Source organism: Homo sapiens, chromosome 17 (assembly GCF_000001405.40).
Source record: "Homo sapiens chromosome 17, GRCh38.p14 Primary Assembly".
In the NCBI taxonomy this organism is placed as follows: Eukaryota; Metazoa; Chordata; class Mammalia; order Primates; family Hominidae; genus Homo; species Homo sapiens.
The window spans coordinates 44,740,947-44,758,628 of NC_000017.11; the positions used below are offsets into that span (position 1 = coordinate 44,740,947).

At 52.8% G+C, this 17,682-nt stretch overlaps 1 protein-coding gene across 24 annotated transcripts in view, besides 1 other annotated feature; it reads left to right on the forward strand.

Annotated features, from left to right (window-relative positions):
* Window positions 1-11,318, forward strand: part of DBF4B (DBF4B-CDC7 kinase regulatory subunit) — a 43,600-nt gene extending 32,282 nt beyond the window's left edge. For 8 of the 24 annotated variants that reach the window (NR_036623.2, XM_006722098.4, XM_024450953.2 and 5 more), the window contains 4 exons: window positions 390-506; window positions 6,137-6,245; window positions 6,445-6,569; window positions 7,395-9,601. Coding sequence is in view for 21 of the 24 variants with exons in the window: in XM_006722098.4 (XP_006722161.1) it covers window positions 390-506; window positions 6,137-6,245; window positions 6,445-6,569; window positions 7,395-8,415 (1,372 nt within the window). In the remaining 3 variants the exon portion in view is untranslated. Of the gene's footprint in view, window positions 1-389; window positions 507-6,136; window positions 6,246-6,444; window positions 6,570-7,394; window positions 9,602-9,648 lie in introns of those variants that run through there. The other 16 variants (NM_145663.3, XM_047436817.1, XM_047436816.1 and 13 more) reach the window with 8 other exon arrangements.
* Window positions 12,114-12,614: an enhancer, noted in NCBI's record as "H3K4me1 hESC enhancer chr17:42830428-42830928 (GRCh37/hg19 assembly coordinates)". NCBI's record gives its function as "activates a minimal SCP1, AML or CMV promoter by ChIP-STARR-seq in primed H9 embryonic stem cells {active_cell/tissue: H9 hESC(primed)}" and the evidence as "EXISTENCE:reporter gene assay evidence [ECO:0000049][PMID:30033119]".

Sequence of the window (17,682 nt, forward strand, 5' to 3'; positions counted from 1 at the left end):
AACACAGTGAAACCCCGTCTCTACTAAAAATACAAAAAATTAGCCGGCCATGGTGGCGGACGCCTGTAGTCCCAGCTACTCGGGAGGCTGAGGCAGGAGAATGGTGTGAACCTGGGAGGCGGAGCTTGCAGTGAGCCGAGATCGCGCCACTGCACTCCAGCCTGGGCGACAGCGAGACTCTGTCTCAAAAAAAAAAAAGAAAAGTAGACAGGGAGAACATATGTATTAATTTAACCTAGAAAGGCTGATGAGTTTTGTTATAGAATTTAAAAGATGTGGAGGTGAGAGTCCACTTTATCAGGGCTGGAATTCTAGGGCATTGGGCGAGGCCCCCTCCTCAGCCTTTACCTTCCCCATTGTAGTCAAAGTGGAAGTTTTCTCTGTTGCAGGAAGTTTCGTCCTTTCCATCATCAGTTTAAATCCTTTCCTGAAATTTCTTTTCTTGGACCCAAAGATGCAAGTCCCTTTGAGGCCCCGACGACCCTGGGCAGCATGCACCATACCAGGTGGGTCTTTCTGGTTCCTGAGTACCAAGGGCTGGTTACAGGCCAAAGTCCTCCCCATCGGGGGCCTGCTGGTCAGATTTGGGAATGGCCATGTGTTTGCTCCTTAGGCAAAGTCTATTCTGGGAACGTAGCCCAGAGAAGAGAGACTAGGAGCGTTCATCCATTTTATTTTGTGTTCTTCATCCGTACTGAAGAATTTAACTTGAAGAAGAAAGGGAGGTGCCAGGGTTGTGAAGGGCACCCCCTTCTCCTTAAGGGTCGAAGAAGACCTATTTGTTAATTCACTGCTGAGATACAGCACTCTTACCCTGTCCGCCCAGAACCCCTGGCCTGCACTGTTTCCCCCAGAGCATGGACCATTGCAACCAGACATGGTGCACCCAGCAGTTACCTCACTCGGCAGGGTTTACCGAGTATACACAGAAGACAATAGACCGCTTTCTCAAACTCATATCTATAGACCACCATTATCAGAGTCCCCTGGGGTCTCTTTAATTAAAAATACAAGTTCTAGCTGGGCACAGTGGCTGATGCCTGTAATCTCAGCACTTTGAGATGCCAAAGTGGGAGGATCACATGAGGCCAGGAGTTTGAGACCAACTTGGGCACACAAACATAGCAAGACTCTGCCTCTACAAAAAATAAAAATAAAAATGTAAAAAATTATGAGTCAGGCAGAGTGGCTCATGCCCGTAATTCCAGCACTTTGGGAGGCTAAGGGGGCGGATCACTTCAGGTCAGGAGTTTGAGACAAGCCTGGCCAATATGGTGAAACCCCTTCTCTACTAAAAATGCAACAAAAAAAAAATTAGCCAGGCATTGTGGTGCACACCTGTAATCCCAGCTACTTGGGAGGCTGAGGCAGGAGAATGGCTTGAACCCGGCAGGCGGAGGTTGTAGTGAGCTGAGATTGCGCCACTGTACTTCAGCCTGGGTGATAGAGCGAGACTCCTTCTCAAAAAAAAAAAAAAAAAAAAAATTAGTCAAGCGTGATGACAAGTGCCTGTAGTCCCACTTACTCAGATGGCTAAGGCAGGACAATCATTTGAGCCCAGGAGTTCAAGGTTGCAGTAAGCTATGATTGTGCCACTGCACTCCAGCCTGGGTGACAGAGTGAAACCCTGATGCAGGTTCCTAAACTCCACCCCATATCTATAGAATCAAAATATCTGATGATGGAGCCCCAAAAGCTGCATTTTACAAGCTCTCATGTGATTTCAGTGAATATCAAAGTTTAAACTGGTTGGGCCAAACATCAGGAATAACTAAGGGGCGGGGCGGGGGAGAAGATCGCTGCATTACGTGGCTCATGGCTTGTGGGCTTGTTAATGTTTCTACTCTGCAGATGTTTGAGAATTTGAACCCTCATTAACCAAAGTAGAGAAGGAATTCAGCTCAGGTGATGGGTGAGATGCCTTCTCAGACCCTTTCTAACCTCTGGGCTGTGGGGTTATAGACCAGGAGAGAACAGAGCAGACTCTCAGCCCTGGAGTTCCTGGGGCCAAGGAGGCTCTGTGGTTTCCATCAGCTGACAAAGGCTGTGGGTAAGAAAATAGTACAAATAGGAGGGAAAAAATTAAGGGAATGTGGCAGTAGATGAAATGGGAGCAAAGAGAGAAAGAGGTGAGGTTAAGTCCCAATACAAGGGATACCAGGGAGAGCCAGTCAGAAGGTGGCCCAGGCTTGGCGCTGGCAGTGATGCTAGGCCTGGGATGGCCTTGGGATCACAGAGGAGCTAAGAGGCTGTAAAGGGAAGATGAAGCAATGAAGCTTTGGTATCTGCATGTGAGGCGCCTAGGCAGGGAGTTGGCCCTGGTGGGACATCAAAGTTCCAGGCACGTGTGTATGTGGAAAATATGTGTAGGAAGAAGTGTTTAAATTTTTACATTTTTGAAATCATTATTATATTTTAAAGTTTAAAAATTTTTAAATTTAAAAAGTTTAAAATTTGTGTTACAAATGGTTTAATGTGAAAAGTCTATATTCCACACCCAGCCTCCAGTTCTATCCCCTCACTGGTGCAACCTTCCTCCCAGGGGTAGAGGCTGGAGGAGATCCGAGTGGTGCCTCACCCCTGCCAAATGGAGAGTGCAGCCTGGGGCAGCATGAAAAGAAAAAGCAAGTAACATCCAGCATAGTCAATACTGTATGATTCTTTTTTTTTTTTTTTTTTTTTGAGAATGAGTCCCACACTGTTGCCTAGGCAGGAGTGCAGTGGCGTGATCTCTGCTCACTGCAACCTCCGCCTCCCAGGTTCACGCGATTCTCCTCCCTCAGCCTCCTGAGTGGTTGGGATTACAGTGCACACCACCTCGCCCGGCTAATTGTTTGTGTTTTTAGTACAGATGGGGTTTCACTATGTTGGCCAACTGGTCTTGAACTCCTGACCTCGTGATCCACCCACCTCAGCCTCCCAAAATGCTGGGATTACAGGTGTGGGCCACCACACCCAGCCTATATGATTCTTTATGTAAGAAGAGGGAACGAAGGATACACATGTACCTATATATCCATGAACTATCTCTGGAGATAGACCACACCTGTAATCCCAGCACTTTGGGAGGCCAAGGGGGAAGGATCACTTTGAGGCCAGGAGTTCGAGACCAGCCTGGGCAACATAATGAGACCACCCCCCCCCCCCCCCGCCCATCTCTATTTTTATATTTTTAAAAAATCTGGCCAGACACAGTGGCTTATACTTGTAATCCTAGCACTTTGGAAGACTGAGGCAGGTGGATCACTTGAGCTCACGAGTTTGAGACCAGCCTGAGCAACATGGTGAAACCCCACCTCTATTAAAAATACAAAAATTAGCCAGGCATGGTGGTGCAAGCCTGTAGTCTAAGCTACTCAGGAGGCTGAGGCTGGGGAATTGCTTAAGCATGGGAAGCAGAGGTTGCAGTGAGCCAAGGTGGTGAATCTGCACAACAGCCTGGGTGACAGAGTAGACCCTGTCTCAAAAAAAAAAAAAAAATTGCATTCCCTTTTATGGCTGCAGGGTATCCATTATTCCATTGTATGGAATGTATTTACTGTATTTTATTTAACCAGTCTGTTATTCATGGATGCTTAGATTAGCTCCAATGAAAATCATGTTCAGAGTAAATTTGCAATTGCTCATTTGTGGAATAAATTCCTAAAGGTAGAAATATTGGGTTAAAAGATATATGCATTTATAATTTTGATAAATTCAGCCAAATGGCTTTTCATGGAGCGGATACCAACTTATATGTTTACCTACACTGCATGAGAGAGGCTGTTTCCCATCCCCTTGCCTCATGCTGTGACTGGCAGATATGCTGACCTCCAGTATAACAGATTAAAAACTGTATCTCAGTATAATTATAATTTTTGTTTTTTCTTACTATGAATGAGGCTAAGTAAGTTTGCATATGTTTGGTTGTTTGAATCTCTTTTTATGTGAACCTTCTTTTTATACTTTGCCCATTTTTTATTTGGTTATTGATCACTTTAATGATTTGTAAGGAGCCCTTCTCATATTAGAAAAATGAGCTCTTTGTTATTAGTTGTAAATATTTTCTTTTCTCTGGTCACTGCAACCTCCACCTCCCAGGCTCAGGCAATCCTCCCATCTCAGCCTCCCAAGTAACTGGGAGTACAGGTGTGCACCACCACACCTGGCTAATTTTTATATTTTTTGTAGAGGTGGGGTTTCACCATGTTGCCCAGGCTGGTCTCGAACTCCTGCGCCCAAGTGATCCTCCCACCTTGACCTCCCAAAGTGCAGGGATTATAAGTGTGAGCCACTGTACCTGGCAGTTGTAAATAAATCAATATATATATTTTTTTCCTAAGCCTCCCTGAGCAGAGAAGTTGTAAATACTTTTAAAAGACAAGAAAACCCCAAGTTTGTGGTTTGTCTTTTAACTCTGCTATATTAGTCCATTTTCATACTGCTATACAGACCTGTCTGAGACTGGGTAATTTGTAAAGGAAAGAGGTTTAATAGACTCACAGTTCAGCATGGCTGGGGAGGCCTCAGGAAACTTACAATCATGATGGAAGGCAAAGGGGAAGCAAGGCACCTTCTCCACAAGGTGGCAGGAGGGATAAGTGCTGAGTGAAGGGGGAAGAGCCCCTTACAAAAGCATCACATCTCATGAGAACTGTCACGAGAATAGCATGGGGGAAACCACCTGATTCAGTTATCTCCACCTGGTCTCTCCATTGACACTTGGGGATTATAGGGATTACAATTCAATATGAGATTTGGGTGGGGACACAAAGCCTAACCATATCATTTGCTAATGATTCTTTGCCATGCATACATATTTTAAAGTTGTATATAGCTGAATTTATGAGTTTTTCTGTATATCTTCTGGGGTTTGTGTCATACTTAGGAAGTCTTTAAAAGGAGTGTTTTGGACTTGTCGAGTTTGCTGGACAGCCAGATAGAAATGCCCTTTGGTTGTTAGAAATATGGGGCTGATATTCAGATAAGAATTCAGGCTTGGCCGGATGTGGTGACTCAGTCCTGTAATCCCAGCATTTTGGGAGGCTGAGGTGGGCAGATCACCTGAGGTCGGGAGTTTGAGACCAGCCTGGGCAACATGGTGAAACCCTGTCTCTACTAAAAATACAAAAAAAAAAAAAAAAAAAAGAAAGAAAATTAGCCAGGCGTGGTGGTGTGTTCCTGTAATCCCAGCTATTCGGGAGGCTGAGACAAGAGAATCACTTGAACCCAGGAGGTGGAGGTTGCAGTGAGCCGAAATCATGCTGCTGCACTCCAGCCTGGGTGACAGAGCGATACTCCATCTCAAAAAAAAAAAAAAAAAAAGAAGTCAGGTTTGAGGAAGGTTTGAAAATCCTAGCGGACAGTGAGGACAGCTGTGAGAGATCCAAGGCAGCATGAGAGAAGGGACAGACTGAACCAAGCTGGGGAGACATTCAGGGTGGAAAAGAAGAGCAGTCCCTTCACTGTGGTTGAGACCTTTTCCCTTTCATCTTTCAGGTCTCATGAATGTGGGTGTAGGTTTGAGCACAGAGTTGGAATTCCTACAAGGGATTCTTGCTGCTGCCGTCACCATCCCATCTTCACCTGTCGTTTAAGAGAAGGACGGAGATGGCTGGCGCGGTGGCTCACACCTGTAATCCCAGCACTTTGGGAGGCCAAGGCAGGTGGATCACCTGAGGTCAGGAGTTTGAGACCAACCTGGCCAACATGGTGAAACCCCGTCTCTACTGAAAATACAAAAATGAGTTGAGCATTGTGGCGGGCGCCTGTAATCCCAGCTACTCTGGAGGCTAAGGCAGGAGAATGGCTTGAGCCCAGGAGGTGAAGATTGCAGTGAGCCAAGATCGCACCACTGCACTCCAGCCTGGGTGACTAAGCTAGACTCTCTCAAAAAAAAAAAAAAAAGAGAGAGAGGACAGAGATAAGACAGGCTGCCCACAGGGAGGTCTCCAGACGTCTTCTTCCTTGTTCCCCTCTTGCCATTCTTAGATGATTGGTACCAAGCTCAGGGAAGGCCTGCCTGCCGGTGCCTGCACAGCCCCTTGGCCATCTTGGTCCTTCCCCTCCCTGACCTAGGCTCCAGGCTCTAAGTAGTGGCTCCTCCCCCCAAGGGCCCCAGCAGTAACCACTTTGCCGCACTATGTACCCTCCCCAGAGAATCCAAGGATGGAGAGCCAAGCCCACGATCAGCTGCCCACACCATGCCCAGGAGGAAGAAAGGCTACTGCGAGTGCTGTCAGGAGGCCTTCGAGGAGCTCCATGTGGTGAGCCCCTTCCCCATTAAGCAGCTGCTCCCAGAGTGCCCTGAGGGAGCCTGCTCACTGGGGATGAGTCCTTCCTATGCGATCTCTATGCTGCTATGGCTGTCCTCCAGGGCCAGAGCATGGGCTGGGAGGTCAGCTTCCGTGTCCCCCTCCCCCCAGGCCTCATCTAATGCCCTGTGCTCCTCTCCCCCGCCGGCAGCATCTTCAGAGTGCCCAGCACCGGAGCTTTGCCCTGGAAGCCCATCTATATGCAGAAGTGGACAGGATCATTGCTCAGCTCAGCCACAGCTTTGCAGACATCCCTTTCCAGGCTGGCCTCCCCAGGTGAGTGCCACGCTGGCAGGCACAACTGTGTCTGCTCTCTCCTCTGTTGCCCTCTGGGTGGGAAGAGACCCTCAGGTTGGTGGCTGCTGGGACCAGACTGTGATGTTTTCCTCTTTTCTCACCTTCCTTTCCCCTTATCCTCAGTCCTGTTTGTTTTGGGGCTGGCCAAAAAAAATAAAAAGACCTCCATTTGTGGCTTCACTTGATGAAGACTAGACCCAGACTACACTGTGGCTCCCTTCCAACTCCACAGGCTTTGATGTGGTTGATAAGCAGTTCTGGCCAGGGAGCAGGGGGTTAGTGCTTGGGCCTCTCCTAGATAGGTGAAAAGCAAAGTCTTTCCCCTCTGTAGAAGTCACCCCCAGAAAGAAGGACTGCATGGGGTTTGGTGGGAATTCCAGGGCCCTCTGAGCCCTGCTTCCCCTTGCTGCCAGCAAGGCAGACCCTCTCCCACCTGGGGCTGTGGCTTCACCTCTCACCCCAAATCTCCACCTCAAGCTCAACTTGCACAGCCAGGCACTGCGCTGCTTTCTTCAGCTGCCAAAGGGCACAGCCTCCTCTGTGAAGTCATGAAATGGAATAGCCTCTAACCTATTCCTCTGGCCGGCCCCAACCACAGGCTGCAGAGCCAAGAGAAGTGCACACAGTGCTGGTTGCTGCGGCAGGTTAGACCCAAACAGGAGGACTTTCACACAGGGCCTCAGAGAAGGCAGCTCTCTCGGCACATGAACCGCCAGCTGTGGCAGCTCTCCCTGTGCCCTCAGCCCTGGCCCAGGCCTGCTGTGAAGTTGAAACCTGCAGCTCACAGTGTTTCTGTCCCAACAGGTGGTCAGGTTCCCCAGCTTCTGATTGTGACCCTCTCTGTCCTGAGACTCTGCACCCCCATCAGCCCTCCCATCCCAGGGCAGCATCTCCCAGGATAAGGAAAGAAGACAGCTGCCAGGCATCAGGTATCCCAGAGCAGGATGGGACAGTGGACAGCACGCAGGCACCAGCTGAACGTGCAGGGACTGGTGAGGTACCTGGACCTATAGCAAGCTGCCAGGACCTGGGGGTGTCAGTTGATGTGTTTGTGGACCCCCCAGGGATACCAGTGTCCAGGAGCCCTGCTTGCCAATGCCTCCTGCCTAGCTCTGGTTTTATGGAACTCTCCTCTGGCCCAGACCTGGCACTTTTTGGCCACAAGCGGAAGGTTCAGTTCCCCAGTGGCAGTGCTAAGAAGAGAGTGGGGGCCTCCTGGCCACAGGCTTCATTTTTTGTCCCAATAGCCCCCAACCCCTGCGGCACCAGGACAACTAGTGGCAAGCGTCTTCCCTCTCTTCCCCTTACAGGCCATGAGTCCAGGCTCCTCGCCTCCCTCCAGCCCTTGTGCCACTCACAGACCTGCCTCTCTCTCCCAGACCCCTTCCCCTGGCAGCCCACAGACAGACCAGCAGAGTTCTGGGCCACACAGCCCTCCTGGCTGGGGAAAGGGTGGCCCCCAGGGCCTGAGGATTCTGAGTGTACAGCCACTGGCCCTGTATCCCAGGAGGCTGGCCAGCTCCTCAGCTGCCCCACAGCTCCAGGCTGGCCATCAGCTCCCCTGTACTCAGCTACCAGTGTGCAGCCCTCGGGAGCACCTGTAGAGAGCAGGTCTACCTCCCTCCTGCAGCCCCTGCCAGCCAGTGCGGGAGCCAGCTGTTCCCGATGCCTCTGGGCCCCCCAGCCTCTCCAGGTGCCCTGTCTCCCTGTCTCCCAGCCCTGGTCCCAACCCCAGCCCCAGCCCCAGCCCCATGCTGGCAGAGAGCTGCTCCTACGAGTCCCCAAGGTGCTTGGCTCTTCACAGGGCCAGGCAGCTCCAGATTGAAGGGCCACAGATACAACTTACTCCTCTGCTGGGTGCTGCACACCCGGCCAGGGCTGACCAGGACGCAGGAGGGGCAGAACCCCAGGACTTCCCCAAAAGAGCTAGAAGGAGGCCCGGGCCTGGCCTTTGAAGTCCAGCAAGCAGCTGTCACGCTCAGCTCCATGGAGCTGACAGAGCCACCCCTCCCACTGGCCAGGTCTTTGGGAGAGAATCTGGGCTGGGGGCTGCCCTCTCCTACCCCTGCCTCCTGCCATGTTCCTGACCAGGCAGAGTCTACAGTGGGCTTGCCCAGCTGAGGCTGGCCGCCCACGCCAGGAGGCAGAGGCGAAGTTGGCATGGGGAGGGACCACAAAGGAGCTGGGGCAGCAGGAGTCCTGGCCCGGCTTCCTGGCCCTCCACAGGCCCTTGCCTCTCTGCAGAGCCGCGGGTTAGCTGTTGGTGTGCTCCACCCCCAACCCCGGCCTCCTTTCTCACGAGCATGTGGCCGCTCCTGCTTTCCAAAATGACTGTGTTTGTCCCCTCCCCCAGCCCCCCACGCTCCCGCACACAGATCCTCAGGAACATATGAAGCAGAGGAGGGGCTTGGGCTGCACCACTCACAGAGCTCCCTCCCCCAGGCACTTAGTTGGGGCCCAGCACTGACCTTTCCCCTGAGCCCAGGATGTGGCCAGAGCCCCCTCTGGGACCCCTCTCGCCCCTTCTCTGCCTCCTCAGCTTGAGCTGCCTGCCCGAAGTTCGGCTGTTCCGGGGCCAGTGTGTCACCTGCCAACTTCCACATCACCCTCCTCCCTCGCTCCCTCCTCTCCTTCCCCAAGGACCTCCCCCCATTTCTGGCAGCCAAGCCATTAATCTGGAGACAGAAATGGGTTTGCTATCGATTCTCTGGCCACTTTTTCTTTCATTACAATTTGTACCGTGATTCTTCTCACCCTTCTCTGCGTCCGTGCATTTAAAGAGTTGTCTCTTTAAATGTTGAAGCTTCCGGAAGCCTGATGCTATTCTGTGTCTCCTTTCAAAGGAAGAAGGGGGGGCCCAGCTATGGGTGAGGACTCAAGTTATTAGTTTGGAAATAGAGCAACTATGTGTACAGCCCACCTTAGAGGTCATGTTACCCCCTTCCTGTTAAATTTTACAATTAATTTTGGTTCAGGAAATGTAAATAAATTTGTTAATTACAAATAGCAAAGAGATGGGGCTGGAATGCCATATGTCGGTCCTTGATCTGCCCTCCAGTGACCCAAGGCAGGGCTGCGGGCCAGCAGCGATGGACAGAATCACTAGATGGTGTGATGGGACCTCCTGCAAGTCACACATGTGTGAGTGCCACAACCCTCCTGCCGGCCTTGCCCAAGGGCTCCAGGGAGCAGGGCTGCCTCTGTCCCTGCCCAGCCTCCTTTACCCAGTCTCATCTGGTCACTTCCTTGGCTCTGCTGCCTGGGGAGTGGTCGCCTGCAGAGGACATGCCCCTCCATCCCTCCCAAGAAAACTCCTTTGCCCCGGCGGACATTCCTGTTAAGGGCCCACTCCTCTTCCCTGAAGCCAGACCGTGGCTTATGTCTGCACGCTGCTGGGTTCGTCCCTTTCCTTTTGTGACATGGGGTTGCCTCATTCCCCATGACACCACCCCTCTGCATGAGGAAGTTTCCCCTTGCCCCTGTCTCAGACTTGGATACCTTTACCTGCTGCTCACACAAAGCCTGTGGTGCCGGGTTCGGGTGCCCTCATTGTCAACTGCAGGACCCATTCCCCGAACCTCACATCCGTGTACCCTTGCCTTCCCCTCCTATCTCAATGATCATGACCTTGGACATCTCTGCCAGGCCAAACCCCAAGGCTGGAACACTCCTCAGCCATTTCTCCATTGCGGCTTCCTGGCTGTAGACTCAGGTTAGAGGTGAACCCAGAACACCTGAGACTTGACCCAGGATGGATGGGTGCTGCTTGATGTGAATGAGGTCCCGCAGTGGCTCCTTGGCGTGAGCACTGCTCAGACTCCTTTCCACTCCAGCCCCCTTTCCACATCGCACCAGATGACTTTTACCCAGACCCAGTGGGCATTGCCTTATCTTGCAGTCAGTCCCTTTTCAACATGTTGCCGTTTCTTTCTGAAGAGGTGTCCTCCCTCCACAAGTCACACTGTCTGTCCCTGGCCCTCCAGCCCACCTCGCCAACCACTCTTGTTGGTTTCCTTCTCAGACTTGCCACCTTTCCCCTCTGCCCCAAAATGCCATGCTCCTCTCCTGGAAAACACTTGAGTTGATTCAGTAAATCGACTTCAAATACTTGAAGGCTCCCACCTTCTGTTCTCTGGCTCCTTCCTGCGGTCTATACCTACCGCCTCCTCTTCACCTCCTTCCCTTCCACACTTCCTTCCTGGGTAGCTCTGCCTGAAGCATTCCACTAAGATCATCTATTCCAAGGTCATGGACAGGCTACTGGTGACCAAAGTTGGTTCCTTTTCTCCTTTCTTTCCTCCTTGAAGCCTGGCTCCCTTGGTCGCAGCAGCCCCTCAGTGGCCTGGTTCTCCTGTCCCCCTGCCCTTCCTCACCATTGCCCATTCCCTCGTTCGTTCATTCAGCACAGGCCTTGCCGTCTGCCCTGAGTCAGCTCCGAGACACCTGAAGAGCCCTCCAGCCCTAACTACTTTACTCAGACTAGGTCCCCAGGCCTTTGTTCTTGCCTCTTCTCGCTGAGCCTTTCACTTCTCGGCAGATGTGACCGATTGGTAGCTCCACCCCAACTCCCTTCTGCTGGGTGGAATGCAGGAGCTAGCTGCCTCCAACTCACTGTGACCTCAGAAAAATGCCTTTATTACTCGGGCCTCAGTTTCCTCGTCTTTAAGTAAGGGGCTTGGATGAGATGATTTCAGGACCCTTTCCAATAATAAAATACTGTGACTGCCAGCAAATCTTTTATGTCTTTCCCTATCCTGCCACCAGCAGGAGTGCTGTATACCCGAGCACTCCTTCTCATCCTGGATCTTGGCTCCCCTTCCCAGGGGAGTTTCAGCTGTGCCCAGCTCAAACTGTTTTCTTGATCTAAAAAATGGAGGTAATCTAGGCTGGGCACGGTGGCTCACGCCTGTAATCCCTGCACTTTGGGAGGCTGAGGCGGGCGGATCATTTGAGGTCAGGAGTTCGAGACCAGCCTGGCCAACATAGTGAAACCCCATCTCTACTAAAAATACAAAAGTTAGCCGGGCATGCTGGCATGCCTGTAATCCCAGCTACTCGGGAGGCTGAGGCAGGAGAATCACTTGAACCTGGGAGGCAGAGGTTGCAGTGAGCCGAGATTGTGCCACTGCACTCCAGCCTGGGCAACAGGGCGAGACTGTCTCGAAAATAAATAAATAAATAAATAAATACGAAAAATGGAGATAATCATAGTTGCTACCTCGCTAGGAAATCACAAGAGTGAAATCAGATGTGTTTGTGAGGTATGTGGCACAGAGCTTGGCACATTGTCTCAACAAATAACATATTACCCACAGGCACACATGCCTGTGAGGCCTCCCTCCTAAACTTACATAAAGCTTATTCTCACTAATTCCCACCTGGCAGTGTCCCTTGGTAACTGGCGTCCTCATCTCGGGTGAGCATTTGTGGATGAAGCTGCTGAGGGGCACTGTGAGACCCCCTGTCCCAGGCCCCCTCCCAAGGGCCCTCTCCTGAGCTCCAGGAGGATCCCTTTTGTGGAAAAGAAGTGGCACTTGGGCCCTTATGGGTGTGACTGTATTTGTGCCCCACAGACCTCCCAAAGGATGAGTGTGCCTGGGATCCTGGTGCCCCAGGTGCCCCCAACTCCTCCCTTGGTGAAGCCTGAGAGCTTCAGAGATTAAAAGAGGGGCCACTTGGACGCCTGAGAGGGAGGAGCATGAGGTTTCCCGGGAGAGCTATGCAGATGAGAAGAACGGTCCTTGGACCCTGGGCTGGCATCTAAGAGGAAGCAGGATGAACTTCCTGTCCAAATGCTAGGCACTTCCCCTGCTGCCACCCCTCCACATCACGACATCAGGCACAGGTTCTCTCTGTGCTGGGTAGAGAGAGGACCCCGAGGACCCCAAGCCATAGAGAGGCCTGGGGTCCTGGGCAAGGGCCAGGGAGCCGGTTTGCTCCTCGGCGCCTTGGACGGTGCGAGCCCAGGGTGACTGAGCCCCTTTCATGTGCCAGACGCTGCTCCAAGCATGGGCAGCTCAGCCATCATCCCCGAGAGGAGCACTGTGAGGGGGGTGGTTTTCTAACCCCTGTGTCGTGGATGAGGAAACCAAGGCCCAGAGAGGCCAGCGGGCTTGCTCAAGGTCACACAGCCAGTTTGTGGGGGAGGCAGGATTGGGACCCCAGCCTGGAGACCTGAATCCTGCCCCCTTGACTAGCATGGTCTGTGCTGCAGGACTTAAGGCTGGTCACCAGGCCTGGACGGCCTCCACTGGCAGGAATCACTGCCGGTGGTATCACCCCAGGGCTGGGGGCAACCAGGACCTCTCCCTTACCTGGAGTTGCGGAGACAAGGTCTTGGCCCTGCATCCCCAACTTGGCCCTTATGCAGGAAAATTTGAGAGAACCGGCTAAAGAGCTAGAAGAGCAGCAGAAGGAAGGAGGCTCCGGCCTCCTAGGGAAGGGGCTTCCTAAGGGAGGCCAGAGACCCACCCCTCAGGGCCCCACAGCTCCCTCAGCAAGAGCAACCCCAAGAGTGGCATCAGGGCAGCAGAAATAGTGGCCCCAGCCTCAATGGATGGACCGAAGGAGCCAGCCATAGCTATGAAGTTGAGGTGGGGCCCCCCAGGGAACCCTATGTTTGAGGGGGAGACACAGGCCTGCCCCGATCTAAGCAGAAAACAGCCCTTGCTATCAGGGTCAGGTCTGATGAGGAGGACAAGCCCTGCTCTTCTGAAGTCCCAGTCTGATGAAGGGCCACCAATGAGAAAACAGACAGCCCTGACCTCAGGAGGGACGGTGGGTGAAAGAACGTGAAGCAAGCTTTCTGTGTGGGGATCCCACAGCTCCTAAGAGAGCTGAGGCAAGCATGAGACAGGGGAGGTGGAACCTCAGGGACTGGGGACTGTGATCAAGGGAGAGGCAAGAGGTCTAGCCGAGGCCGGGTGCCAGGGTTCACAGATGTAATCTAATCCCAGCACTTTGGGAGGCTGAGGCTGGAGGATCACTTGAGTTCAAGAGTTCGAGACTGGCCTGGGCAACATAAAAAGACCCCCGTCTCTACAAAAAGAAATTTTGTTAGCCAAGCATCGGCCTCATGCCTGGTAATCCCAGCACTTTGGGAGGCTGCTCTGCCTCCCAGGTTCACCCCATTCTCCTGCCTCAGCCTCCCGAGTAGCTGGGACTACAGGCGCCCACCACCACGCCTGGCTAATTTTTTGTATTTTTAGTTGAGACAGGGTTTCACCGTGTTAGCCAGGATGGTCTCGATCTCCTGACCTCGTGATCCACCCGCCTCAGCATCCCAAAGTGCTGGGATTACAAGCTTGAGCCACCACGCCTGGCCTTGAATGGCTCTTGAGTCCAGGTGTTGAGAACAGCCAGGACAACATGATGAAACCCAATCTCTACAAAAAATACAAAAGTGCTGGGCACGGTGGCTCACACCTGTAATCCCAGCACTTTGGGAGGCCAAGGTGGGCAGATCACTTGAGGTCAGGAGTTCAAGACCAGCCTGGCCAACATGGTGAAACCCCATCTCTACTAAAAATACAAAAATTAGCCAGACATGGTGGAGCACACCTGTAATCCCAGCTACTTGAGAGGCTGAGGCAGGAGAATTGCTGGAACCCGGTGGGAGGAGGAGGTTGCAGTGAGCCGAGGTCATACCATTGCACTCCAGCCTGGGCAACAGAACAAGACTCCGTCTGAAAAAAAAAAAAAAAAAAAAAGCCAAGCTTGGTGACGCCACCTGTAGTCCCTGCTACTCAGGAGGCTGAGGCAGGAGATGACTTGAGCCCAAGAGGTCAAGGTTACAGGAAGCTATGATTGTGCCACTGTTCTCCAGCCTGGGCAACAGAGCGAGACCCTCAAAAAATTAAAAAATAAGGTCTATTGCCTGCAATCCCAGCACTTTGGGAGGCTGAAGCAGGCAGATTGCTTGAGGCCAGGAGTTTGAGAACAGCCTGACCAACATGGCGAAACCCCATCTCTACTAATAATACAAAAATTAGCCAGGCGTGGTGGTGCACACCTGTAATCCCAGCTACTTGGGAGGCTGAGGCAGGAGAGTCACTTGAACCCAGGAGAAGGAGATTGCAGTGAGCCGAGATCATGCCACTGCACTCCAGCCTAAGCAACAGAGTGAGACTCCCATCTCAAAAAAAAAAAAAAAAAAAAAAAAAAAGATCGGCTGGGTGCGGTGGGCTCACGCCTGTAATCCCAGCACTTTAGGAGGCCGAGGTGGGTGGATCACCTGAAGTCAGGAGTTCGAGACCAGCCTGACCAACATGGAGAAACCACATCTCTACTAAAAATACAAAATTAGCTGGGCATGGTGGCACATGTCTGTAATCCCAGCTACTCGGGAGGCTGAGGCAGGAGAATTGCTTGAACCTGGGAGGTGGAGGTTGCGGTGAGCCGAGATCATGCCATTGCAACAAGAGCGAAACTCCAGCTGGGGGTGGTGGCTCACCCTGTAATCCCACCAGCACCCTGGGAGGCCGAGGCGGGTGGATCACGAGGTCAGGAGATCGAGACTATCCTGGCTAACACAGTGAAACCCCGTCTCTACTAAAAACACAAAAAAATTAGCTGGGCATGGTGTTGGGCACCTGTAGTCCCAGCTACTCGGGAGACTGAGGCAGGAGAATGGCATGAACCCGGGAGGCGGAGCTTGCAGTGAGCCGAGATGGCGCCACTGCACTCCAGCCTGGGTGACACAGCGAGACTCCATCTCAAAAAAAAAAAAAGAGCGAAACTCAATCTCAAAAAAAAAAAAAAAGAAAGTTCTAGGCCAGGCATGGTGGCTCACACCTGTAATCCTAGCACTTTGGGAGGCAGGCAGATTGCCTGAATTTAGGAGGTTGAGGACAGCCTGGACAACATGGTGAATTTAGGAGGGTGAGAACAGCCCGGGCAACATGGTGAGATCCCATCTCTACTAAAAATACAAAAAATTAGCCAGGTATGGTGACACATGCCTGTTGTCCTAGCTGCTCGGGAGGCTGAGGCAAGAGAATCACTTGACCCCAGAGGTGGAGGTTGAAGTGAGCCGCGATCTTGCCACTTTACTCCAGCCTGGGTGACAGAGCGAGACTCTCCAAAAGAAAAAAAAAAAATAGTAAGTTCTAGCCGGGTGCGGTGGCTCACGCCTGTAATCTCAGCACTTTGGGAGGCCGAGGCGGGTGGATCACGAGGCCAGGAGATCGAGACCATGCTGGCTAACATGTGAAACCCCGTCGCTACTAAAAATACAAAAAAAAAAAAAAAATAGCTGGGCGTGGTGGCGAGCACCTGTAGTCCCAACTATTCAGGAGGCTGAGGCAGGAGAATGGCGTGAACCCGGGAGGCGGAGCTTGCAGTGAGCCGAGATCGTGCCACTGCACTCCAGCCTGGGCGACAGAGCCAGACTCTGTCTCAAAAAAAAAAAAAAAAAAAAAGTAAGTTCTAGCCAGATCTGCTGGGAGCCGGGGAACCCAGGAATATAAGTGGCTATGGGGGCCAGGGAGCCATATGACCGAGTCTCCACTGGAACTAGCCCAGGGTGCCACCAGGGAGAGTCACTCTTAGGGCTCATCAGGTCTCCCCAACAGGAAGTCTAGGGTCCCAGGGCCACCGATGTGGTAGGAACATGCCTCTGGTGAAGAGGCCTGGACCACAGATTGGGCTTGCTCTGTGGTCTTGAACATGTTGGAGGACCCAGACTCTCCCAGCCCCGGGCTCGCACTGTGAAATGACAAACCTCACCCAGCCTACTGGGGGGCACTCCTGATCGGGACTTGCTGATGTGGCCCTGGGACATGGGCAGGCTGGAGCAGGACAGCCACCTTCGTGTCTGGGGTGTGTGGTGAGGGTGCATGGGACCAGATATACCAGTCCCCTCTGGTCCCAAATGGAGGGCAGAGATGGAAGTAGGACTAGGGGTGGCTAAGAGGAGTGGGGCCATGGAGTATGGGATGTGCCTTTCACCAGCTGTGTGACTTTGAGAAGCTCACATAACCTCTCAGAGCCTCAGTTTCCCCATCTGTAAAATGGGGAGCACAATCTCTCCCTCTGGGCTCATGATGAGTTTCCAGGAATACCACCTAGTAGGCCCTCATTCCCAGGAGCCTCCTCATGCCTACATCTTGGAGGAGGTTCTCAAGATGTCTCCAGAGCGAAGGAAGAATTGGCTCAGCCTTACTGAGCATCTGGGCCTGGCATGGCAGGTGGTTGGGGGTGGGGGGAGTCACTTGGTTCCCTACATTGATGTCAGCGCCTCCTGGGAAATCGCCTTCTCACCTCTCCTGGGCCTAAAATAGAGCGGGGGGTGGGGGTGTCACAAGCTAGAGGCAGTTCCCTCATCCCCAGCAGAGGCCCTGGGTCCTTGCGGAAGCAGAGGACCCAGGAAGGGGTTTCCTGCCTCCAATCTTGTTCTTCAGCAACCTGTGGTCCCCTAGCATGGGTACCAAAAAGGTCAGGGTGGGGACTCAGCGGCCCACCCACCATGCCCTACCACACCCCACACCATCTCAGGTATCTGGCCTTCAGCACCCCTAGCAGAAGTCTGAGGTCCCAGCCCTGGTATTGGGACCCAACATCCCCAGGAGCTGGGTGGAGGGCACAGCTGGGAATGTAGGTTGGGAGGTCAAGTATTTTGCAGACAGGGCAGCCTAGTCTGACCAGAGAGGGAATGCTGGGGGGCTCCAGAGGTGTCTTCTGCTCCTAAGGATTGGGACTAGCAAGGGAGGGGGAGCCATGGGGCATGCTAGCAGCATATAAGTGACCTGGCTAGTTTATATTTTATCTAGGAGGAAGGACAGGACGCCTGTGAGAGACTCAGGAACCCAGACGGACATGCCAGCCCTTCCTGATGGTTGGAGTGACAGCGATCCCTGAAGCCCTCCTGGAGGCCGGGGCATCTTTGGCGGGGAGAAGGAGCCGATGGGAAGGGGTCTGTACCGCGGGCGTGAGAGGACTCCGCAGTGACACGACCCGTAGCGAAGGTGCAAGAAATCCCAGAGGCGTAGAGCCCGGCGTTCGCCAAGAGCCTTTGCCCACCCCAACCCCAGCTTCCACAGCCTGGGGTCAAGCGGGGCGCTCCAAGCTGGGGCTGGGGCAGCCTCTCTGGGGT